The sequence below is a fragment of the Homo sapiens genome, chromosome 10 (assembly GCF_000001405.40).
Source record: "Homo sapiens chromosome 10, GRCh38.p14 Primary Assembly".
In the NCBI taxonomy this organism is placed as follows: Eukaryota; Metazoa; Chordata; class Mammalia; order Primates; family Hominidae; genus Homo; species Homo sapiens.
In genome coordinates this window covers 44,983,634-45,007,200 of record NC_000010.11, presented here as the reverse complement: position 1 = coordinate 45,007,200, position 23,567 = coordinate 44,983,634, and the positions used below count along the sequence as shown (strand labels likewise).

General features: G+C 47.7%; 3 protein-coding genes and 1 long non-coding RNA gene across 5 annotated transcripts in view, besides 7 other annotated features; 1 reads left to right on the top strand and 3 right to left on the bottom strand.

Annotated features, from left to right (window-relative positions):
• Positions 1-1,874: 1,874 nt before the first annotated feature.
• ZNF22 (zinc finger protein 22) lies at positions 1,875-6,278 on the bottom strand. The gene is made up of 2 exons (NM_006963.5): positions 6,223-6,278; positions 1,875-3,921 (listed from the first exon to the last, which is right to left on the bottom strand). The coding sequence occupies exon 2, from the start codon at positions 3,830-3,832 to the stop codon at positions 3,158-3,160; it is 675 nt and encodes a 224-aa protein (NP_008894.2). The 5' UTR covers positions 3,833-3,921; positions 6,223-6,278; the 3' UTR covers positions 1,875-3,157.
• On the bottom strand, positions 4,818-13,165 carry LOC124902530 (uncharacterized). The gene is made up of 3 exons (XM_047426129.1): positions 13,030-13,165; positions 12,260-12,396; positions 4,818-6,421 (listed from the first exon to the last, which is right to left on the bottom strand). The coding sequence occupies exons 1-3, from the start codon at positions 13,163-13,165 to the stop codon at positions 5,792-5,794; spliced, it is 903 nt and encodes a 300-aa protein (XP_047282085.1). The 3' UTR covers positions 4,818-5,791.
• Positions 5,662-6,162: an enhancer, noted in NCBI's record as "H3K27ac hESC enhancer chr10:45496487-45496987 (GRCh37/hg19 assembly coordinates)". NCBI's record gives its function as "activates a minimal SCP1, AML or CMV promoter by ChIP-STARR-seq in primed H9 embryonic stem cells {active_cell/tissue: H9 hESC(primed)}" and the evidence as "EXISTENCE:reporter gene assay evidence [ECO:0000049][PMID:30033119]".
• Positions 5,662-6,238: a biological region, named in NCBI's record as "H3K27ac hESC enhancer GRCh37_chr10:45496487-45496987".
• Positions 5,889-6,238: a silencer, noted in NCBI's record as "silent region_2343". NCBI's record gives its function as "represses an Ori minimal core promoter by ATAC-STARR-seq in GM12878 lymphoblastoid cells {active_cell/tissue: GM12878}" and the evidence as "EXISTENCE:reporter gene assay evidence [ECO:0000049][PMID:35858748]".
• ZNF22-AS1 (ZNF22 antisense RNA 1) lies at positions 6,398-13,269 on the top strand. 2 transcript variants are annotated; one of them, NR_126421.2, is made up of 4 exons: positions 6,398-6,671; positions 6,785-6,915; positions 7,779-7,884; positions 12,995-13,269. It is a non-coding gene; the product is annotated as a ZNF22 antisense RNA 1 (long non-coding RNA). The 2 variants fall into 2 exon arrangements; NR_164113.1 differs by lacking the exon at positions 12,995-13,269 and having other exon boundaries at positions 6,785-9,503.
• Positions 11,310-23,567, bottom strand: part of RASSF4 (Ras association domain family member 4) — a 36,090-nt gene continuing 23,832 nt past the window's right edge. The window contains exons 5-11 of the mRNA NM_032023.4: positions 23,088-23,179; positions 22,231-22,388; positions 17,826-17,927; positions 17,480-17,531; positions 16,132-16,253; positions 15,199-15,296; positions 11,310-13,932 (exon numbers count right to left, since the gene is read on the bottom strand). Of these exons, the coding sequence (NP_114412.2) occupies positions 13,872-13,932; positions 15,199-15,296; positions 16,132-16,253; positions 17,480-17,531; positions 17,826-17,927; positions 22,231-22,388; positions 23,088-23,179 (685 nt within the window). The 3' untranslated portion in view covers positions 11,310-13,871. The remainder of the gene's footprint in view (positions 13,933-15,198; positions 15,297-16,131; positions 16,254-17,479; positions 17,532-17,825; positions 17,928-22,230; positions 22,389-23,087; positions 23,180-23,567) is intronic.
• Positions 14,477-14,976: an enhancer, noted in NCBI's record as "H3K4me1 hESC enhancer chr10:45487673-45488172 (GRCh37/hg19 assembly coordinates)". NCBI's record gives its function as "activates a minimal SCP1, AML or CMV promoter by ChIP-STARR-seq in primed H9 embryonic stem cells {active_cell/tissue: H9 hESC(primed)}" and the evidence as "EXISTENCE:reporter gene assay evidence [ECO:0000049][PMID:30033119]".
• Positions 14,977-15,478: an enhancer, noted in NCBI's record as "H3K4me1 hESC enhancer chr10:45487171-45487672 (GRCh37/hg19 assembly coordinates)". NCBI's record gives its function as "activates a minimal SCP1, AML or CMV promoter by ChIP-STARR-seq in primed H9 embryonic stem cells {active_cell/tissue: H9 hESC(primed)}" and the evidence as "EXISTENCE:reporter gene assay evidence [ECO:0000049][PMID:30033119]".
• Positions 15,508-16,199: an enhancer, noted in NCBI's record as "H3K4me1 hESC enhancer chr10:45486450-45487141 (GRCh37/hg19 assembly coordinates)". NCBI's record gives its function as "activates a minimal SCP1, AML or CMV promoter by ChIP-STARR-seq in naive H9 embryonic stem cells {active_cell/tissue: H9 hESC(naive)}" and the evidence as "EXISTENCE:reporter gene assay evidence [ECO:0000049][PMID:30033119]".
• Positions 22,799-23,299: an enhancer, noted in NCBI's record as "H3K27ac-H3K4me1 hESC enhancer chr10:45479350-45479850 (GRCh37/hg19 assembly coordinates)". NCBI's record gives its function as "activates a minimal SCP1, AML or CMV promoter by ChIP-STARR-seq in primed H9 embryonic stem cells {active_cell/tissue: H9 hESC(primed)}" and the evidence as "EXISTENCE:reporter gene assay evidence [ECO:0000049][PMID:30033119]".

The following is a 23,567-nucleotide window of genomic DNA, read 5'->3' as shown; positions in this document are numbered from 1 at the left end:
ATGTCACAATGCTTTATTTGAAAAATGACAGAAAAGAATCTCTTAGTTATCAGTTTACTACAGAACTCTGAATTTAGGAAACAGCCATTATACTTATCCCTAAATGAGACTAAAATAGGCAGTCCCCCTATTTTACCAGTGTGGTGAGAAATCCTACTTTGGAGTCCCCTCAACATATCTAGGGTTACATTACAATCTAGCGCTTCATGTGGACCAGGAAATTGGAGGAAGGTCCTCTGGTCTTCAGTTCATCATGACTGCAATTGGGAAGTTCAATTGTCCAAGCTGGTTGGTCTGTTTGAAATCAATGTGCAACAGGGACCAGGCTCTTGCTCTTGGAGGTGAGTCCTCCTGGCACCCACTCAGCATCCTCTCATGGGTCCTGTCACACTCAGACTCTGCATGGTGGAGGGACAGTCACCCCTTTCTCCCATGTTTGAAGACACATATCAGTCTCAGGACAGATTTTCAACTTCCAGGGCTGATATCACAGGACATTCTAGCAACTCTGTGTGTGGGGACTTTCAACCCAGGCCAGAGAGTCATGGGATACAAATAAAACACACAAACAAGCTTTAATGCTGCCTTTAAGTCTCAGTAAGGAACAAAGAGAAGGGTCCCAGGACAAAAAAAAAAAAAAAAAAAAAAAAAAAAAAGGAAGTATGGAAGTATGGAAGTATTACAGAGTATCGGCTAGAAACAGAAAGACAATGTGGGGGAGGCGAGGCAGTGTTTCTCAATATGAACTCAAAAAGCTGTTTTTTCTCATCAGGCCACTAAAAGGATAGAACTTTTAAGACTGATGATTGGCTCCAGAGATGCACAAAAAAAGCAGGATGGGTGCATCAATCAGGACAGGTACCAAATCTACACTGAAATCTGTGGCCTATCTCAACAGTTTATTTCTCACTCATGGGATACCTAAAGCAGGTTGGCAAGAGACTCAGGAACTACCTAAATGTCAGCTCCACTTTGGCCTGGGAAATAGGAGCACAGAGAATCACCCAACAGCTTTTAAAAACATCACTAACTCAAATGGGCAGACCTAGTGTTGTTTCTCACAGCACTGTAAGGGTGCCAGGAAACGTGGGGTATTTGGGTATTTGCTCACCAAATATCCCTCTTTCCTCCTTCCACACACAACATACCTTCTACCCAAGGAAGACAACCCCAAATCCCATAGTCACTACACTCTGAAAACCCTGGGACATCTCTAGATCAAGGCTGGCTCCATCTATCTCCCACTGGTCCAGAGCTGTATTAACCAAAAACATCCCTCATCTGTGCTCCTCTCCACATACCCCAACACAGTGAAGAGAGTAATGCATCCCCATGCTCAAAGCGCATAGGAGACCTTAGTCTGTGACAATTTCTCTGCTGTCCTGAAGGGCATACTGCTCGTTAAATTATTTTGAATATCACTACTGTGCACAGCCCTGTTTGCTGTCAAAATGGGCAAATTCCTGAAATGTAAGAAAGAAGTGTTGGTCCTACCCAGAAGCTATTGCATACACAAAACTAATGTGAATAGCATTGATAGATCCTCAAAAGGGCCCCATAGCCACAATCCTGCCAAGGAGTGACTTGGATATAATAGGGCGGCCAAAGATCACTGCTTTCATAAAAAACTGTGATCACCTCATGTTTACAAAACACCTTGTGAATATCTTGTTGAATGGCACTTGTCAACAAGGCCATAACAAGGCCAACTTCTATGGCCCTGCACTCAAATGCAAGGCCAGGAGGAAGGCAAAGTTCAAGTTTGAGGAAATCAGAAACAGGCAAAACAAGTGATCCATCCAAAAGCTGTGACTTTAGATCTATTGTCTAAATAATTAAAACAATTCCCCAGAAGAAAAATAAACAGAAGGTAGTAGTATACAAAATATTTCATTTTTTATTTTCATGAATAATTGTCATTAATACAGCAGAAACCGATATGATTATAAAAGATACCAAAAAATCAGAAGAATGTTAGCATTCAATAGAAATTAAAACCTGAGCTGAGGGCTCATTAGAGTCTGACACTTGGCACCATTCTCATGGAAGTGAAGAAACATGTTTGCCGGACTCCTTAAAACAATTCATGTAACACAGAAAGAGTTAAATTTCAAAGGAGCTACAATGTACTGACACATTACGACTCTTGTTGTTGACAAACATTTAAGCAGGGCTATCCAAAGCTCACAGTCTTGAAGGCAGGGAGGTGTGTAAATTGTAGGTTTTTAATTAAGCAGTAAGCAAGCTGAGATTTTTCTTGGTAAAATAGTTTGTTTATTCATGTAGATCTAAAAGGCTGGCTCAGTTTGTCAGAGCACAGGAGAATGCCAGAAGAGGTCAAGGGCATGGGGATGTATCGACATGAATCCATCCCAACTTGTGGAAAACAAACGACACAGCAGTTACCATCACAAAGAACTCTATTAGTAGGAATAGAAGACTTGAGGTCCAATTCAGTTCTCATTTGGATTCTATAGTATCTCTAAGAATTTGGTTAAAAAAAACAAAACAAACAAAACAAAAAAAGGGAAATCCTTACTCCTTTCATTAACAACTGTCCACAAGGAGAAGAAATAAAAGACAACTAATATAGATAGGCCTTACTGATTAAAAATCTGTGAGCTTGAATACATTTTAATATGTTGAATCTAGAGTGATAAACCAATGGTTAATATACTACAAAACTTTACAAACAAAATCTCATCTGTTGCAGAACTTCAAAAGTAGTGGAATTGATTTCTTCTCCCTTTTTTCTTCCACAGAAAGTCCTAAAACTGAGTAGTCATTGGCATGCCTGCACTTTCACAAATGTATCCTCAAAACATGATGGTTTTTCTCAAAATGTATCTACAAAACATGATGGTTTTTGAAAATGGAAGTAATTTCAAATGAGGTCAAGGATGTCATGCTCCCTCAAAACATATTTTCAGTTCTTTGTGCTCCATGTCACATAAAAAAGAAATGAGGGTAGCTGGACTCATGTAATTTCTTTCAGCTCAATAATGTCATTAAATTCCCAATGTTTTCACACTAGCAAAAGATCCAGTATTTAAGTGATCTACTATAAAGCATCTCTATTTCTAAAAAAGATTCCTTTCATTTTTTACTTTTTATTTTTTCTTAAGAGGTCTCAAAAAGCTGTCAAAAAGCCCTATACTTAACGGAGACCAGCCACAGACTTCCTTCCTGTACCAGCTTTCCAAGAGGGTAAGTGAGTCTTCACCCTGATATTTTTGCCCCGGGTTTTACGAGGCTTCTCTTCTTTATGCACCTTCATGTGCTGCCTCAGATGAGAGCTCTGACTGAAACATTTGCCACATTCACTGCACTGGTAGGGTTTCTCCCCAGTGTGGGTTCTCTGATGTTGAATAAGGTGGGAGCTCTGGCTGAAACACCGGCCACACTCATCACACTGATAGGGTTTTTCTCCAGTATGAATTCTCTGGTGCTGAATGAGATTTGAGCTCTGTTTGAAGCTTTCTCCACACTCATCACATTTGTAGGGCTTTTCCCCCGTATGGATCCGTCGATGCTGAATGAGATTAGAACTCTGAAAGAAACTTTTCCCACAATCAGCACATTTATGGGATTTCTTTCCAGTATGGATCTTCTGGTGTTGAAAAAGAGTTGAACTCTGACTGAAACTCTTTTCACATTCAGTACATTTATAGGGTTTGTCATCCAAGCTTCTTCTGAGTCTACTGAAGCTTGAGTCAAATCGAATAGTCATGCCCCACTTCTGCCGCTGCCGGCCTGTTTTGCGCTTGTTCTCATAGGCCTTTCCTTGGCTTGAGCTCCGAGAAATACCCGCTTTAGGCTTTGCTAACCTCATGGTGAATAACCAAATGTATTTGTAAGAGAGTTTACAGGCTTCTTCTGAACTAGTGTTTCATTTCCTAGAGGTGTACAGCTCAGAATTTTCTGTGTGTAGAAGGAAAAAAAATTTAGAGATGATCAGAAAAAAAATTACAGATATCTGTTAACTATTCAATTTTAATATCTCTTCAACCCACCAAAATTGCATTCATGTTTAAATTTAAAAAGTATAAATGCAAACAAAGATAATATGGGGGGAAATTTGGGGGAAATACTTGCAAAGTAATTCTAACAATTCCAGAGTTTAAGCTTAACAAATATCACCAAATTTTGACTGAGTTTACCACTGGAGTTTCTGTCTATTGGGACAAGACAAATTAAAAGTGATCAGGTGAAATATAAATCTTCCAAGCATTACCAAATGAGTACATAATTTTGAAGAACTAAAAAGTGGAGATAAGGTAAATCTTAATGGGAATGGAGTAACTCCAAAAGACAATCAAAATTTGTGTAACAGAACATTACTATGCTTTAATATTTAGTTCCATGTTAAACTTCTACTAACTAGTAACTGCCTAAGGTATCCAAATGAATAAGAAATGACAAATTACACTACTTTATGATATATTCCTGTTTATCTGTATTTAGCATTCGATTTCCATAGCTCTAGATGACAGTTTAGCTCTAATTCTGTAGCATAAAGTGTTTTGAAAATTGAAACTTCTCTACAGGGAGTGGTAGGTTTACTTAGTCTATGAAGACACGCTTTATTATTGGTTTTTATAGATCCTAATGATCCAAGAAAGCAATTTGTTGAAAACCCAAAACGAAAGTACTGTTTTCGGAGACAGAAAAACTGCAAAAGAACTTTTACCAGAAAGTGGAATGAAACTGAGTAGAAAACGCATGGTAGGTAGGACACAAGAAAAGGAGAGGGGGGAGAAAATGAGTTTACATGTAAAACTAGGATGGAATTTTTAGAATACCCAAATGCTGCAAAATTCAAAATTTCAAATGATTTTATTTATTTATAAGGCTGACTTGTGGCTATTTAAAATAACGGCCAAAACAAACCAACAAAAACCCCTACAAACCCCACATAGGTGGCAATGTCGGAAAATCTAGAACTTCAAAAGCAATAAAATTATTGGAACTATTTTTCATTATCTTGTGTCAGAATGTGGAATTTAAAATAGAAACAATTATTCTGGGTTTCTTTGCATACAAACATATAAAGCAAATAAATGAAAACAAAAACATAATTTTTCTTGCCTTCCTTTCATCTTATTGTATAATTGAGACTTTAGGTCCAGGACTTTATCTGGATATTTAATAATTACATCAGCTGTAATTATGGTCAGCGTAAGAGTAAGCCGCATATAACACAAGATTACAGTTAGGACTACCCACTCCTTAACTTAAGCAAATATTTACAGAACATCTACCACACAGGAGACATTGTGTTAGGTACATGGTGTTGGTGTTGCTTTTTTTTTTTTTTAATAACTATAATGGTCATTATACATAAAAGCACACGCATTTAATACAATGGAAGTCAGATCTAGTCAGAAACTCAGACTGTCAAATCCACCTACGGATGAGGCAATCATACTAGTATGTGCCAGACACTGTGTAACTTGATTCTGTGCTAGCTCTTTAATTCTCCTGGCACCTTTATGCAGTTATTTCCGTTTTAAGTTAAGGAAACGAGGGCACAATGCTAGAAGGCACTGGCCGGGTTCCCAGACCCTAGCAGTTTGACTCCAGAGCCTGTACTCTTAGTGGCAGCCACATCTTCCATTGCTCAGTCCAGCGCGGCGACCCGTGCTTTGCATAGCTCCCCAGCAGGGGCAAGCACGAAGTTAAACCTGAGTGACAGAAGCTGCTGTTCTTGCACACCCAGCTAACTGGAATGTGCCTCAGTTTCCTCGTAAAATGGGGAGGGTAATGATAAAGTGGCAACACCATCAAGATGTTAGAAGTTGCAATGAGTCTGAATCTGAAAACCGCTCAGAGCAGCCCTGTGCTGCCTAAGCATTTGTTCCACGTATCTAGTCCTCGAACGCTCCGAGCGACGGAAGGGGCCGGGGCTGCTGCTCACCCGCCCAGTTCCACCCGCCGCGGGCCGCGCCTCGCCCGGGCCCCCAGTCCAAGCCTCCCGTTCCCAGCACTCCGCCGGCCGCTCCTCATTGACCCGGCCCGCCCGCCGCGCAGGCCGCGGCCCCACCCTGGGCCCGCGTGGCCCTCCCGCCCCCGCCCGGCGGCCAGGCCCTGCCCGGAGGCGGGAGACGCAAGCCACGCCATCGCCCGGGCCCGCGCCGCCCTCGTTGCGGCCAGCGCGCTCCCGAGCGGACCCGAGTATCCGACGCAGGCCCCGAGCGCCCCAAGTGCCCCAATCCCACTCACCGCGCGGGACCAGCCACCACTCTGGCTCGCTGGGCGCCTCCCGCGCCGCCGGAAGTGAGGGCCTCGCCGCGCTCTGGCGCCGCCGCGGTCGCTCTAGGAAAGTGGCGGAGCGACCCTCTATGGTCCCGGGCCCACCCGAAAGCGTTGTTCGTTTCTTCCTGTGGTTTTGTTTTCTCCTCCCCCCAACTCGGAAGGCGTCCTGTGACCCCCGGGACCTCAAGAGCTGTAACCGCCCCTGTGTGTGGTCGAGGCTTTTGAAACCAAACTCTAGCCTCTCCAACCTAGAAACTGCATACTTTCCACAAATTTTGAGATTTTTGAGACCCTGGTACTTTTCACGAAGTCACCTTAATTATCACCAAAAAGCTCCTGCAAGATGGGAGTGGTTATACTCCATTTACAGGAAAGGAACCAAGGCTCAGAGAAGAAATGTGCTCCGTTCACCGTGTGTAAGCGGACGACCCAGAATTGGAATGGTTCTTTGTGGCTCCAAAGTCTGATTTCAACACACCCCTTTTGTTGCTCATTAGTAATGATCTCTCTTTGTTCTTATTCCTTCCAGGCTCCTCCTCAGCCATCCTGGCCGTGCTCAGTCATCTGACCAGCTGACCTCCGTGTTCCCCCACTCCCTGGGGAGCTCCTCCGCCTTTTGGCTTCCAATGCTATTGCTGCATGCTGAAGACTCCCGCATTGGTAACTCCAGTCTGACTGTGGGACATAAATGTTATTGAACTTTAGACTTGTATATCGAACTGATTACTCAAGAGCTGCATTTGCATGTGTAATGGACATCCCAAACCTAACATACCCCCCAAATGAATTCCTGATATCTACCTAACCTGTTCTTGCAACAGTCTTCTTCCCAGGGATGGGTGAAGATCCCATCATCTTTCCAGTTGCTCAAGCCAAAAACCTTGATGTCACTGTTGTCTCTTCTTTTTTTCATCCAAAATTCACCTGTGATTTATCCACAAATTCTGTCGGCTTCATCGTTAAAATATATTCATTATCAAGCCACTTTCAACACTTCCACTGCTATAACCACCAAGCCACCTTCATCCACCTTCTGGATTATTATATTGGCTTCCAGACGGGTTGCCCTACAGTCTATTCACGGCCCCAGAGTAATCCTCTTAAACCTAAGTTAGATCATGTCATTCATTTGTTCAAAACCTTCAAAGGCTTCCCAACTTATTAGAGCAAAGCCAAGGACCTCGCAGTGGCACCCGATGCCTCTCATGATCTGTCTCTTTAGTTCTTTATTGTGTCTGCAGTGCTGAAAACAGTGCTCAGCAGGGAACAGACACTCAGTAAATAGCTGTTGAATGAATGAATTTATAAGATGCCTTATTGTTTACAAAGTACTTTTACATCTTATCTTCTGGTTATTCATCTTCACCATAGTCTCATGAAGCACAGATTATCATATCTGTCTTGCAAATCAGTAAACTGAAGCAAGAGAGGCTGACCTGCCTGAAGTAATACAGTGGTTTGTTGGTGGAGGCTAAACTAAGTCATAGGTTCATTCTCTTAAGTTGGGGCTTTCTGCTCTGTAGGGAGCTGTCTCTGCATATGGCAAAGCACAAAGCTGAATGAGGTCTGGACAAAGAAGCTCCACTCGCAATCTAGAGAGTATCTGGACTATTGCAGTGATTAAATGAGGTAATGTAAGGCACTTAGCACAATGTATAACACAGAAGAAATGAGAGTCGTTGTTACTTTTATTATTAAATTGTTATAAGTTGGTTGATGCTGGTGGTTGGAGAGTTTGGGGTAAAGGGCAATGGCCAGAGATCTAGAAATGGTTTAGGAAAAGCGTCAGGAGCAAACATGACCCGTTGGGACTGTCTGCTCTATGTACACTAAAATAAAAAGATAATTTTTAAAAAGCCATTTTGTTAGTAAGGTAGTTACTAATTAAAACTAACTCCTTTAATGTCTACATAAAGATGGATTATCCCTTTTTCCTATACCTGAAAACAACTGGGCCAGCCATAGAAGGGCCAGAGGTATGTCAACTAAAGCATTGGGTAAACGAGGATGGATTTTTTAAAAAGAGAGAGACGAAAGTCAGGAAATAAAGGGGTGTGTGTCCCTAAGTGTGGACAGAGTCCTGGGCAGTAAGGATGGAGAGGAGGGAGAGCCAGAAAAATATATGAAGGAGAGGAGGGTAAAGGAGAATGGGAAAAAGACAGGGAGAGAAAGCAGGTAGGGTTTTATGCCTTCAGCCTAGCTGTTAGTATAATAATAGTTAACACTTATTGAGTGCTTATTGTGTGCCAGGCACTGTTTGCAGCATTTGAGGATCTCACGTGAGATTCCTGAGGCATGATTATTCCTGAGGGTTTGCTCCACCTTCTCTGGTTTTGGTCCCTGCACTTTGTGGTGTGACTCCGGTGCCTCCTGGTGAACCACATGCCTGTCCCACTGATGTTGACTTGACCACTGATTTGAATTGGCTGACCGCATGTGACTGGATGCAAGGGGTACATCACATCCCAGAAGAAACTTCAAGTCATTGTGTTTCTGCCAGGACTCTGCTCTTTCCCTCTGCCTTGAGAATAGCATGTCCCAAGTAGGGGCTGCCCCTTTAGTCTAGGAACCAGGATGATAAGACACATGGAGCAGAGCCACAGAAGCTCACATGTAACCACAACGGTCCCACGTAATGTTAGAGAAACAAATGCTCTTGTAACACTGAGATTCTTGGTGGTATTATTGCATTAAAGTTGACTAATGTACCTCCCACCAACCGTAAGAGATAGGAATTGTTATTATCCTGTGATATTGTGAAATACATAGTTGATCTTCTCCCCGTTTCCTGACATACAACTTCTAAAATCCTTAGAATCTCCAAAGTGATGTCTTTTTATATGCTGATGAGTTGACTGATGCCTGGCAGCCCCTGGGTAGCTTCAGGATGGGGCTGGTCACTGGAAAGACCACAGCAGGATTAGAAGGATGGCAATTTCAGCTCCACCCCATCAACATCTGGGGAGGAGGGCAACTGAAGGTGAAGTGGATCACCAATGGCTGATGGATTAATCAATCATGCCTGTGTTACAAAGTCTCCATAAAAGCTCCCAAAGGACTGGGTTCAGAGAGCTTCTGGATACCTGAACACATGGATGTTACTGGAGGGTGCCACCTGGGGTCGGGGGGTGCAAAGGGGAAGGAGTATGGAAGCTCCGCACCCTTTCCTTCATACCTCACTATATGCATTTCTTTTTCTATATCCTTTGGAATATCATTTGTAATAAACCAGGAAATGTGTTTCGCTGAGTTCTGTGAACCGCTCTTGCAAATTAACCCAAGGAGGGGGTCACGAGAATCCCAACTTGAAGTGGGTAGTTCACAAGTTCCAGAGGCCAGGGCTTGTAACTAATGGGAAGGGTGGAGACCATCTTATGGGACTGAGCCCTCAACCTATGGGAGGTGATGCCATCTCCAAGTAGATAGTGTCAAAACTGAATTAGAGGACACCCAGCTGGTGTCCCTGCAGAAATGATTGCTTGGTTGGTGTGTGGGGAGAATCCCTCACCCCGTTTGGTCACAGAAGTCTTTTGTGATTATTGCTGCTGAGTGAGAGAATAGTAGAAAGCACTTTGTTTTCTTCCACACAGAATCCCCATTTCACAGATGAGAAAACTGAGGCAAGAAACTCGCCCAAGGTCATGCACATTTGTAAGTGGCAAAGCCAGACTTTGAAATCAGAAAGCCTGGCTCCAGAGCCTATTAACCTCTCTATAACAGTCTATCTCCCAAATGGGATTCTAGGCAATTTTTATGCAAATTAAATTATTGAAAATGGTCACGCATGATATTTACAAAACACAAGGGAGAAAGGGAACAAGGGTGTGGGAGGCAGGGGGTGGACACAGTCTGGGCATCTTTCTGCACATATTTCTGGGGATTCTGGCCCAAGAGAGGCCAGATCCCTTAGTGGCTGGGACATCTCTGGGAAACTACCCAGCAGGGACCAGTGTGTCCCTGAGCCCAGTGGTATTTGAAGGGTTCATTCCAGGAAAAAGAGTCTTCTGGGGTGAGAAAAATCCTGGCAAGACAGTTTCATTTTCCTATGTCTTTGTCCCCTGCACACCACTGGCTTGCGCACACACACACAGACACACACACACACACACACACACACACACACACACGCTGTCTCAGCAGGGAGCACTGCTGCCTTGGGTCTGTGTTTGGCAACATGGATCCCCAGCCCAAGTGCCAGAAAGGCAGTTATAGGTGTGGCTCATGTGCGGTAACAACAGTGGTCCGTCTCCCACCAAGAACTCTCAGCCCAGGGATCCTGAACAATGGTTCTTTCCACCAAGCCTGAGACTTGGCTTTCTGTTTCCTTTGGACTCTCTGGGAAAGAAAACCCTGGGAGTTCCCATTCCTAGGTCTGAGAAAACATCTCTGTTAAAAGTTGACCAGGAGGGCACAGGGCCCTACCCTGCACAACGTGAGTCTCAGGCAGGGCACGTGAGCAGCTAGCCTGATCCCAAACAATCGCAGCTCTCAGGGCCTAAATATAGCCCATGCATCTGGCTGTTTTTATACTCAGTTGCTTGGCTCTGATCGACCAAGCTTCCTGTCTGATCACCACTGAGGAACTGAGGGCAGGGGGATGCTGCCCACCACTGCACCTGGCAAGGATATCCCGCTGCCCCTCCGCAGCTGCAAGGCACCTGCGTCCTACACACCCGGGACACATTTTGCAGGGCTGGTTCCTCCACAAATCATCTGGTCAGACTGGATAAGCTTTGGGCCTTGTTTCCATGGGACTAAGGGGCCAGATGTATCCTGGGTGAACCCTGGCTCTATTTTGCCAGTGGGAAGGTCTTTATTCCATTTTCTGGTAAACATTCCAATCCGGTAGCATATGGTTATCACCAAAGAAAAACAAGATGTTTTTGATCCCTTCTGGTAATTTGTTCTGGGCAAACAAACTTGTTTTTCCTGAGTCCAGTCCTTTTGCAATCATGCTGATTTCATCCTGTGCTGTTTATTATTCTCTCTGGTTCTTGAGGCCTGGCCTGGCAAGACAGTCCTATTTTAGGAGACAACACTCTCCCATAGCAATCTTTGCTTTATCTTCGGATACGTTTATTACCTGAGACACTAGGTAGCCAATGGGGCATATGAGAAATACCCTAAGCTCTATGTAGAAAGAAAGCGGGAGCTCCCCACAGGAACCAGTAGGAAACCACAGAGACCAGCCTCTAACGTTTGAAATTATGGGGTTGAGGTGAGCTGAATTTGCAGCTTTTCAGATTGCCTCTGAACAGCAAATATGATGTTGATTTAGAAAAAAAGGTGTGAACTCCTCAGCTGATTGCAGAAGTGTACCTTTTCCCTTTTTCTGAGCCACTTGCTAGTGATTTTTCTGACCCATAACGTTCAGAAATTAGATTGATAACACCTACTTTAAAAGTGAACTTATCCGAAAAGGCCTTAAATAATATTGTAATAACTTTCAAAAGCAAACCAACCAACCAAACAGGCTGGTACTTAGGGAGGGTCTCCTGCTCCACTGGCTTCCTGTGTGCCAGGACCTGGCCTGCTCCTAGCTGGCAGGTGCATCTTGGCCTGTGACGCCACATGCACTTCTTAGCCAACTCTGCCTTGGCCTCCACCTCACTCCCAGGAGCTTTGCCGGTTCGTTGCTCAGCTGATCTCTTGACCCTTCCAGTGTCTGGCCTTCTTCTCCTGATGAGAAGACCCCTAGACACAGGACAGACTGGCTCCATCTTTGTGCCTCCAGGGCTGAGCACAGGCCTGGCACAAGGCAGTCACTCAGTTACAGCTGAACAATGGGACAGGAGCTGTCCTCCACCTGAGATTGTAAATAATAGCTTGGGAGTACAATTACCTGGGAGCTCCTGTTTGATTTGTTTTGTACCCTCTCCTAGGCCCTGCTTCCATCCCACCTGAGCCCCTGGCCTGGAAGATTCTTGGGGCCCTCCTGATGCTAAGATTCTGTGACTCGGGGTGACTCTATTGCTCATCATCCAGGTCACCTCTAGGCTCCCACCAGTGACGCCTGCGTGTTCCATGGCAGCCTCTCCTCAGGCTCCACCCTAGTCCCCAGGGCATGCACAGAAATGAAGGAGTCATGTCGGCTCCTAGAGCAGCGAGTTGTGGCTCTTCTGCCAAACATGGCCACACATCCTTTAGGATAAGAGTTTCAGAAGTTAGAGCCGGGGGTCAGGGTGGATGCACAGAAAGCAAAAAAAAAAAAAAAAGCTTGGTTCTCACTTCTTCAGTTCAATACAGCACACCTTTATTGAGCACCTAAGGATCTATGCTGCCAGAGGAGGGCAGAGTCGACAAAACAGTGGGCAGGCCTCCCCTGCAGCTCTCTGTGTCTGTGATGATGGAGCTGGGTTGGGGAAATCCTGCTGTGACATTTGCCCTGACGCAGTTCCGCACAGCATGGTGGCTTCCAAGCTATGCTCTTGATGGGCACCCGTAAGGAGCTTCTACATGCATTAGAGATGGAGCCTCTCCTATCTTTGCAAGCCTTTGTGGTTCTTCCCTTTAAATCTGCCATCCACGGACCTCAACAGGAGAATAATTTGGTCTTCAGTTTGCTCTGTTTTAGACAAATACTTCACATGACTGATGTAAACTGTTGCATAGTTTCGCAAAGGCTTTCTCATTCATTCCTGAAATTCTCCATCAGTCACAAACACAAATTGTTCAGTATCTGGGGAATTCAAAGCCCTTTCCTCAAAACAGACATTTCTCCTTATCATTCTTCCTTCAGGGGAAGTATTGAAAGTCATTGAAAGTCATCCCCACCCACTAGAGGAGAGAAACGCAAGCCCAGAAAAGGCAAGAGGTACACAGGCATCCACGGGACAGTGGTGATGGGGCTGAGCACTGCCTTCCAGAGCTGCTGCTGGGCATTGAGCGGGCAGCACCCTCTCAATGCCATGTGGACCCTCCTCAATGTGATTGAATGACCGTGTTTCTTGCAGCAAGCTCCTTGTAAGAATCGCTTTAGGTCTCTCTGATGAAGTAAAGATTGATTTCTGCAGAGAAAGTGAGATACTTGTGGCCTTATTCCTGGTCTCACCTCTGTGTTGGGGCTGAGCTGTGCGAGGCTCACAGGGTGATATTGGAGGCTTAGAAGCCGGGGACACTGTGGCAAGGTGATGGCTGAAAGCAGGCTAGATCTCATACCTGCTGGCAGGCCCTGCTTTTCCCAGCAGCATTCCTGTGGGGCAGCGTGATATGAGGGCAGACAAGAATCTCATATGAAGGAAGAGGACAGGGGCTTGTGGACCCACAGGGGCTCTGGGACAGGCAATGTGCAAGCAGATGAAGCCTAAGCCGCAGGGGCTGGGCCAGCACTGCTCTCCAGTGCAGGAGAGGCATGGTGTGGACAGGGCTGGCCACACAGATCTGACCCAGCAAGTTCCTGGCCCCTCAGGCCTGGGTCGGCTTCCTGTGGGTGCTCATCTTGGAGCCAAGAGCTGGCTGTGGGAATCATGGTGCTCAGGCTTCAGAGAGGTAGACACACAGGCACTCGATTCGTCAGGCGGTGGCCATCAGTCAATGTGACCGGCCGGGGCCAGCAACCAGGGCTCAGTGTACACCTGCCACTGCTGGGGACTTTGGAAGAGGCAGGTGTTGGCCAGTTACTTGGCCTCCACCAGCTGCTCCAGGCGCTGCAGCATCGTCAGACGCAGGGCTTGGAACCTGGAGGGAGACATCGCCAAGAGGACTCACTGAGGCCAGACAGGGCAGGGAGGTGGGCAGCAGAGCAAGGGACCTGCAGATGGCCAGCTCAGGAGATCCCTGCAGCAGCCTCATCTCTCCTCTGCCAAGGAGGGGGAAGGCTGTGGCCTGCGCCTCATGAGGTGCAGTCAAACCAGGCTGTGGACTGCACAGAGCATCAGAGCAGAGTGTTGTCATTTCTATTGCAGACTCTAATACAGACAACAGCACACTGGAGTGGACAGGGCGGTAGAGCAGAGATCGGGAAGCCCATGTTTCAGCCCAGATTCTGCCATAACCTATGCGGCAACCTTCCTTGTGCTGGGCCTCAGCGTCCACTCTGTACGTTGAGTGGACCCACTAGTTGCCCCCCAGATCCCTTTCAGCTCTCAAATCTTACGGGGTCAGGACTGACTGCAGAATGGAAGATTCCCTCTGACTTTGGTCTCCTCTGCCTGTTTGGGGTCTGGCTGCACAGACAGGAGCCTGTGGAGGATGTGGCTTTCCACGGGTCATTCAACCAGAGGCTAACATCCATCCTTTCCCCACACACCCCAGGCCCTCTCAGTGAGCTCCTGCCCTTTCCTTCCTAGCTGCCTCCCCACCAGCCCTGGTGGGGTGCCCTCCACAAGTCCTGGACCACACTTCACTTTGCTGAGGGGGAGACGTCATTGGGACTACAGCCTGGCTAACTCATGCATCCGGACCCTGGCGTGGTGTCCCCAGGAGCTGGCAGGTGAGACCTGCTCACCTTTTCATTGAACTAGCCCTCTGCACCTGAAAACATCGGCTGAGGCTGGGAGTTCCAGCATCTGCCACTTTGGGGAAGGCTCAGAATTCCCACTAGGACAAAAGGCCCTAATCAGGCCAAGTCTGCCTCAGCATGCCTGCTCCTTGGAGCCACATCACCAGCAGAACTCAGAAGCTTGACCCAGCGCCCACTTGGGTTCCTGCCTGACTTTCCTGCCAGGTGTTCTGCAGCTCATGCCTGCGCTGGTGAGGATGCCAAGACTGGATGGGTGATCGGGGCTGTGTCCCACTGTTTTGGCAAGCTGTCACCCCAGCGTGGTGGCAATACCGAGCAGGGGGCCAGAGGGTGATGCTGGGGAGCTAGGGTTAGCAGGCCTTCCCGTACCAGGGTACTGGTGCCCATGGAGGAGAGAGACCTCCCAGCCGGCACTGGTGCTGTGCTTTGCAGACCTGCCCTGATGTTCAGGACCCATGACTGTCTGTTTAAGTGCTGCTTACTTCATGGTCAGTTTGATTATTTCTCTTTCTTCCTCTTCTTTTAATTTTTCAACAAAACTGTCCAGCACCGGCATTTCAAACTTAATGTACTGAGCGACCTAGAAAATCCAAGAACATTTTAATGTGCTTTAAATTCGAAGCCAAAAGTATGTTTTCTTTTCCTCAAGGCTTCCATAGTGGCCCATCCAGCCAACATCTTGTATCCACAGAAGGAGCTGCCGCTTTTCCCACCCCACCCCCACACTGCTGTGTTGTGTACAGATGCCAGGACGGGAGCCTATTACTATCTCAAAGGCAACTGTTATCCCTGGGAGGAAATATTAAACTGAATATTAGGAAGAGCATTCAGTACAGCAGCATTGTCACATTGGGTGCCCTCTGGGCTAGGGGGTAGGGAGGTGGGAGCACCATTGTTTCTAACAATGGAATGCAATTGCAGCAGCCTGAGGGATACGGGGTCACTAGGCCTCCTACTTGAGGTTCAAACCCTGTAAGCATCTTCTATGCAGAGGAGTTTGGAAATGCACTCACTGTCTGGTCAGAACTCAGGCTGTTGGTAAGACTTAAATATCTCCCTGTTTTCCACAGGTGCGAGGTAGGGCCTAGTTAAAAAGCCTTTGCATAGGTCTCTCACATAATGACAACAAAATACATTCCAATGAAGGAAAAGACTTTACTTCCCTAGAGGAAAAGGACAGGCCATGGTTTTATAGGACCCAAATTCTTCTTTCCCCTAAGCTGCTGGTGCTGGCGGTCACTGATGGGAGAGGGAGGGCTGGCGCCTCCCTGTGCTAGGCTGGGAGCCCTTTGGGAGAGTGTGGAGCTCCTGGAGACATCAACTGACAGGGCTCTGGCCAGGAGTCCTTGGGAGGCCCCGTCACCCAAGAACCCCTCACCCTAGAGCAGGCCTCCCCAGCCTTGGCCCCCACTCACTTCATGGGGGACTTCCACGCCCAAGTCAGCTTCCATCAGGAAGATCCTGGCGATCTTCTCACATGGCCCATGCAGGATTCTGGAAATCAGCGGGTACTCGCAGTCTTTTAATTTTGTCCGCTCTGAAAAAGAAGGTGGTTTACAAAAATCACGGGAGATTAGGATCACCTCTGTCTGTTCCAGATTAGGAACTGATAGAAAATGTGCGTCTAGGGGCGCAGGGAACCCTAAGAACACAGACCTCGCTAACAGCGCTGCCCTGAGAGATTCCTGCTCATGCAGAAGGGAGGCAGAACAGGGCCCCCAGATCTGCCACTTTGGCATAAGGATTAAGTGGAGCGGCTGGCAATTGAGAAGAAGAAGATACAAGTGAGGCTCTTTGCCCTCCCCTATTTGCCAAAAAGCAGGACATAAATTTGTCAAGGTGTGCCCCCGTCCCTCTCTAGGCAATGATGGAGTTAATCACCAGAGACAACCCGAGCCCCTCCTCAGCCTGGAGAGGGCACCAGAGGAACCTGCACAGCACGTCCCGCTGAAGCCCTTCCCTTCCCGCAGCTCCCCGTGCGGTGACCTTCCCACCCTTCGCCTCCCCAGAAACTCAGGCCCTTCTCCTCTGTCTTGTCACTTCTCTAAAAACTTACTGCTCTTTTGTGAATATGCTATTTAAGCCCAAATTCTGACCATTCATCCCTGGATATTCCAAAGGGCATGCATGATGCAAGTGTTAACAAACTTCTGTTTGTTCTTCTCCTTAATCTGTCTTTTGTTAATCTAAATACAGGGCCCCAGCCAGTGAACCTAAATGGGTAGAAAGAGAAGATAATTTTCCTCCCCTACAGTGTCATTCAGCAAAGGTGCAGCTTGAAGAGAAACAAGATCTGAGGGGTGGGAGAAAGGAAAGCTGAGACGGGAGGGCCAGGGCCTGATGCACTGCGACACGCACCCCACCCTTCCTGACTCGGCGCCAAGGAGCTAGGTACCCACCCATCCATTTCTCTGGAAGAGGCGGAGAGGGAGGCTTCCTATAGCTTGGTGGGATTCTCCTTCAGAATCCTGAAAGAATTAAACTTAATGTACTGAGCGACCTAGAAAATCCAAGGACATTTTAATGTGCTTTAAATTCGAAGCCAAAAGTATGTTTTCTTTTCCTCAAGGCTTCCATAGTGTGCCTGGGTTTGGGTGGGGGAGAAATGTTCATGCTGGGAGGCACAGTGTGCCCTAGCCCACTAGGCAAGCCAGCACGGAGCCCATCTGGAAGGGAGTACAGTCAGTGGTTGGTGGGGAGGGGGCTTGCTGAACAGGTAGAGACCTTTTGCTTTTACGATCCAGAAGTGGGGCAGGTACTTACCCCCAGACTCGTGAACGATGTAGAGTGCGAACTCACTGGGGCCATCTTCCACCTGCACAGGCAGTCACAGGAAGTCAGATCACGGTGCTTGGAGATGGGAGAGAACTGAGAGGGTCCCCTGACAGTAACTACACCCCCAGTAACACACACGCAAGTTGCAAGGAACCTGTCCTCTCCCAACCTCCTCTTGCTTGAAATCCGAGAAACCAAAGCTCAGCAGAGGGACCCTTGCTAGACCTTCTGCCCAGGCAGCTTCTGCCACGGGCAGCTTTCCCCAGAACCCCACCCCCAACAGAATAGCAGACCACTGGCATCCTGGGGCAAGGCTGCTCCTGACCAGGCTTACCCTAAATTTGTTCAGCAGCAGGGTGAGCACCTGCAGGGTTGTCATGGTGCTGTTGACCCTCACATTGGTCACGGATCCATAGGCTGGAGTAAACACGGAGGTCTGTACCAGGAAGGGAGAGAAGTTCAGGTCAGGCCCAGAGGGGACAAGGGACTGACATCACAACGGTGAACAGACCAAGGCAGCAGGTGACGCTGAGATCTGGGAACACCTGCACCTGTCCATTCACGCTGATGCACACATAAGCTGTTCCCAGACCTGGGAGACACTCCGGGAAGCTGTAGTAGTGCACTCCTTCCAGAGGCCTAAGGAAGATGTCTACACACCCAGAAGGGCCAGCTCTCTGGACCCGAGGAACCAGGGCCATGGAAGTCATTCACAAGGGTGGGGGAATCAGTCTCTCCATCACTCTTTCTATTGATTAAGTCACCAGTTGTCTGTTGATTCTAAGGCTGAAAGTTACCCAATCTGTCTCCTCCTCTTCATTCTCCCAGCAGTGCCTAGTAGAGGCACTGATCACACCATATCAGCTTCCCAGCTTGTTCCCTTCTGGTCTCAGTCCCTCTAATCCGTAGTCTGCACCGCTGCCTACAGGAACGGACTTCTAAAACCCTTGCACCTCCAAGTGACGTCTAGCCCAGCTGCATCCATACAGTCTCGGCTCCCTTCCCTACCCTGCTCCATACCATCTGAATCAGAGTCTGCGTCTGTAGAACACAAGGCGAAGCGATCTGTGCAGTTCAATGTGAGAAGCACTGTTTGAAAGCGCGGGTCTAAAAGTATCTGAAGGCTTCCTGGGGACTGTGCAATAACATCTGTAGTTCTTCTCATTGTCTCGCACGTATGACACTATGGTTGCCTAACAAGCACCATGTGCTCCAGTCACAGAGCTTCTTCACAATTTGGCTGGGGGGTGGGGGGACACATTATATTTTTGCAGGTATCTTGCCTTTGCCTAAGAGACACCATATATGAAATCAACCAGGACTCTGCCTGACACATAATAGGTCCGTCCTCAATAAACCCTAGCTGTGTATTGAACCCGCTAAGATTTTACATACAATCATTGATTTAATATTCATAACAACCCTTTGAGGCAGCTATAACTAGTCCCCTTTTCTTAGAAAGGAATCAGAGGCTTTAGGAGGTTAACCAGCTTGTTCAGAGTTACCCACCTAGAAAAGACAGAGCCCTGACTCAAAGGATTCCATGATTCCTGAAAACCTACATGTTACCCCCCTGGTGCTGGTGCCTCCCAGCGAATGTGACTCCTCTGCAGGTGAACCTCTCCTTGCTTTTCAAACTCAAGTTTAGATTCGCATATTCCTCCTCTGAGATCCTAGCTCTGTTTTCCCAAGGAGGTAGCTAAGGCTCAGAGAGCTCAAGGACCTATTCAGTATCCCCGCTCTGATAAGTCCAGGCACACCTGGGAGCCATTGTGAGTTCAGGTCCAGACCATCACAATGAAGCGAATATCTCAATAAAGTGAGTCACACAAATGTTTTGGTTTCCCAGGGCATATACAAGATATGTTTATACTATACTGTAGTTTCTTAAGGGTGAGACAGTACTACATCTAAAAAATATGCATGCCTTAATTAAAACTACTTTATTGCTAAAAAATCTGACACAGAGACACAAAGTGAGCACATAGTGTTGGAAAACGGCACCGATAGACTTGTTCAACACAAGGTTGCCACACACCTTCAATTTGCAGAAACCGCAGGTGCAGCAAAAAAAAAAAAAAAAGTGCACATTTTTGCAAATGGAAGGTTGCTGAACAGCAACCTTCCATTTGCAAAAATCTGCAAGGTACAGTAACAAGAAGCACAATAAAATGAAGCACGCTGTGCCAGAGTCAGACTCAACCTCGACCTGCTTCCCCCAGCTCGATTCTAGTTGAGGTGCAGAATGACTGAGTTATACAGAAAGCCAGGATTAGGATTAGGCTTTCTTGTCCAAAGAAATATGGAAGAGAGGGCCAGGTGCAGTGGCTTACGCCTGTAATCCCAGCACTTTGGTAGGCAAAGGCGGGCGGATCACGAGGTCAGGAGTTCAAGACCAGTCTGGCCAATATGGTGAAACCCTGTCTCTACAAAAAATACAAAAATTAGCCAGGCATCGTGGTGCGCACCTGTAGTCCCAGCTACTCAGGAAGCAGAAGAATCGCTTGAACCTAGGAGGTGGAGGTTGCAGTGAGCCCAGATCGTGCCACTGCACTCCAGCCTGGCTACAGAGTGAGACTCCATCTCAAATAAAAAAAGAAACATGAAACAGAGGAGTTAGGCTATTTCAAAGGGACAAAAAGTCTTGTTAACAAGACACTGTGTTTCTTCTGCACGAAGCCTTTTCTCAAGATGATACCAACCAACTCCAAGTAGGAACAAAGGCCCCCTGGCTACTTTCTTATCTCTAACCACAAATGGTTTCTCTCTAACAGAACGCATTTGAATCCAATAGGTCAGGCAGTAGAAACAGCTACAAAGTTTCACCCTGTCTGGAAATAAAACCAACATTTCTGGGAATCAGAACAGTTTTGGAAAATGACTGAGTGAAGTAATGGTGCACAGTTCTAAGAAACAAAACCTGGAACTATCTCAGAAATTCAATGCTAGGAATTATTTATTTTTTCAATTGTTGCCTCTGACTCAAGGAATCTGTCCCCTCATTTCTAAGGACATTAGTTCTGTATGGATGTTGAGCGTGGTAAGAAAGGGCTTTTTGCATAGTGCTTTTCTTTGGGACTTCCCTTACCCAGGAGGTGGGGGAGCTACTGTCCCAAATGCTTAAGACACTATTCTGTGTCCTTGAAAGCAGTACTTTTTTCTGGAAGAATGGATTCACATTGCAAGGGCAAATCTGTCACTAGGAGGAAAAGCTGCCCTCACTGGGTGACAGGCTGAGACCCCATGTTGTCTGGCTGAGTAGCTCTTCTTGATAGTGTGGTTCAGTTGGAAATGAGAGGCTGCGATGAAAACCCTCACTGTTCATTTCAAAGGCTGCAGAGTGCTCAGGACATGCAGAGAGCTCAGTGTTCCTATGACACTGGCAATCACTACAATAAGGTTTAATGTACCAGACACACCTCTTAGTGATGAATGAGACCCTTCGAGGAGAAGCGAATGTACCAATGCTAAACTCCACCATTCAGTACTTTGAATCATGGAGCAAAACATCCCTGCCCCCACCCTTTTTTTGGTAAGGAACATAGAACTGGAAAATACCTAAACCCACGCACATATTTTGGAAAATTTTTGAATAATTCCTTACACTAGCATATCAACATTTATTTGAATGCTAACAATGGGTACCCAACACATTACACACTAAACCCCTTTTGGAACAAGATTTAAAGAATACTCAAGTCATGTCATGTGTCCTTGGGCTAATCTACACCTTTGTTAATCTCTGCCTAACTTCAATCCTGGGTCCCCTTTACTCTCTCAGGAGACTCTACTTTGGAATAGTCCTGGATTTTTCCAGATTTAGCAAAGGCAACCCTATTGTCATTCATTCACTCACCACAAGCCTAGCAGGGGGTGGAAGGGAGATCCTGAGATTAAAGCAGGGTCCCTTCAGCTTGCCCAGCAGAATTCCAAAGTAGACATTCCAAAGTCCAGGGCACCCTAAGTGTGGCTTGAATGGCCCCTGGATAGCCTAACCTGGGACACCTGCTCCTTCAGATCGGACCCTGAGACCCTCCTCCTGAGCCCCCTCCCTGCCATAAGTCATCCTCTATCAAGAAGGGCAGCTGCTTCAACTGGAAATCTCGGCTTGCATTTCCCAGTGCTGAGGGAAAGATATGGCCTGTCACAAGACGCTCCATCCAGGGCCTTGCCCAGACAGCCAATCATTCTATTTACAGTAACAATCAACTTCTCCTGCTACAGTTCAGTTTGTTTATAGAATGATGTAATTTGGGGAAAGAAAGCTTTTCCTGAGGTCAGTACAATGCATCCTTGGACAAAAGGCTGTGTGCTGGGAATCTGGGGTCGTCCAGGTTCTCTGGGGCACAGACACATGTGCCCTGGGCACACCCCTGCTTAATTATTCGGTGAGAGTGATGGCTGGATACACAGTGTTCCCAGGGATCAACCAATCGAGTTCGGGGGGAAGCCTCCTAGAAAGCGCCCTCATTGAAGACACGGTCAGCGTTACTGTCTGCCCAGGGCATCCCCAGCTTACTTGCCAGAATTCTGTGTGACTTGTGAGGATGCACTGACAGTGAGCATGTGCTGGAAAATGCTTAGGTCATAAACGGGGCTGTTATGTGGATGCAACCTGGTTTTTCCTCCTGAGGGCACAGGAATGCCAGCAGCCCCCACACAGGTCATGGTGCTTGCTGTGCCTGTGCTCAGGCCTGGCTCCCCATGCGCCCAGGGGAGAGGCCAGGCTGGGGCATCACCTTATGATTGTAGAAGTGGCCGTTGATAGAGAACCGGTGTCGCCGGATGCGCTGGGCCTCACCGGGGGCGCGGCACTTGGGCCTCCTCTGGCTCATGCAACTGGCGTCGCTCTTGGTCCGCATCAGCTGGGGGGCCTCCTCTGCCTCCTCCAGGGGCCCTGCATGAGAAATGGGTGAGAGAATGGCAGGGTGGGTGATGCTGACAGAGCAACTGCCTGCTGTCGGGAGATCTGGCACCCTAGAGCCCTGTGGTCACGTGCACTGGGGCAGATGGGGACGTGAGGGCCATTCCTGGACTGGAGGCTGGATATTCCCAGCTTGCAGATAGGAAGGTGAGACCCAGACAGGGTAACCTGGGTCACAATGTCACATGGCCATACCCCTCTTGGTCTCTGTCTTAGGGTGCCCATGGAGGTCTTTGGTGGCCCCAGCCCTGTCTTCTGAGCCCCTGCTCTGAAACAGGCCCTTCACTGAGGGCTAAAGGAAGGGGAATAAAAAGGATGAGTGAGCAGGTACAGAGGGTGAGGACGAGGTCGCAGAGGGAGGTGAGGGGCCAGGAGAGCGCAGTGCCTTCTGTGGATGCTCCTGTTTCCCATAGCACACACAGGGCGGGGGACTCAGGCCACCCCCACACTGTCACTGTCACCTCCCAAGCCTCTGCTCACTTTTCCATAAAAAGGAGCGAGAATGAGGGCAGAGCACCTCACAGGCAGGCACCTGGGTAGGGGTCCAGCAGGTGAAGCCCCTCGTTGGCTGGGGCACAAAGCTGTCCTTCGGAGATTGTGGTTGTGAGCCAAGCCCCTCTGCTCCTACCCCGGATGAGGCAGGGGTCTGGGCAGCTTGCGGGCTCCGCTTACCCGAGCTGTCTGTGGAACTCTCAGCCTTGTGCACTGGCTGAATGCTTGGCCCCTGGGCTGTGATGTTCCCGTTCTGGGGCGATGGCTCCTTTCTGAAAACAGACAACTGCAGGGCTGAGATGGCTGCCGGCAGAGAAAGGGAGCTCAGGCCAAGGAGAAGAGACCAGCAGCCCCTGGGGTAGGACACAGGCGGGAAGCAAGGCAGGCTGAGGTGAGGCCTGGATTTCAAACCAAGAGAGTCAGTCTGAAACAATAAAAGAAAAGTAGAGGCCTCCCCCCAGCATCTGCTGGACGGAGAGTGAGCCTGGCCCTGCAGACCTGAGGGCTTGTGCTGGGCTGCATCGCACAGACACACGGACACATGAACATAGTCAGGGCCTGCGCATTCCTAGACACCAGGCTTAGCCAGGCCAGCAGCTGTGTGCCAAACAGGCTCGCTGGGCTTCCCGAAGGCCTAGTGGGGTGTCAGGCAGGGGCCAC

Coding starts and splice junctions, on each gene's coding strand:
- ZNF22 (NM_006963.5), bottom strand. CDS start 3,832: ATGAGGTTAGCAAAGCCTAAAGCGGGTATTTCTCGGAGCTCAAGCCAA.
- LOC124902530 (XM_047426129.1), bottom strand. CDS start 13,165: ATGGCATTGAGAGGGTGCTGCCCGCTCAATGCCCAGCAGCAGCTCTGG. Junction 12,397..13,029: donor GCGTTTCTCTCCTCTAGTGG/GTGGGGATGACT, acceptor CTTATCCTAAAG/GATGTGTGGCCATGTTTGGC. Junction 6,422..12,259: donor GGAACACGCAGGCGTCACTG/GTGGGAGCCTAG, acceptor CGGGGGTCACAG/GACGCCTTCCGAGTTGGGGG.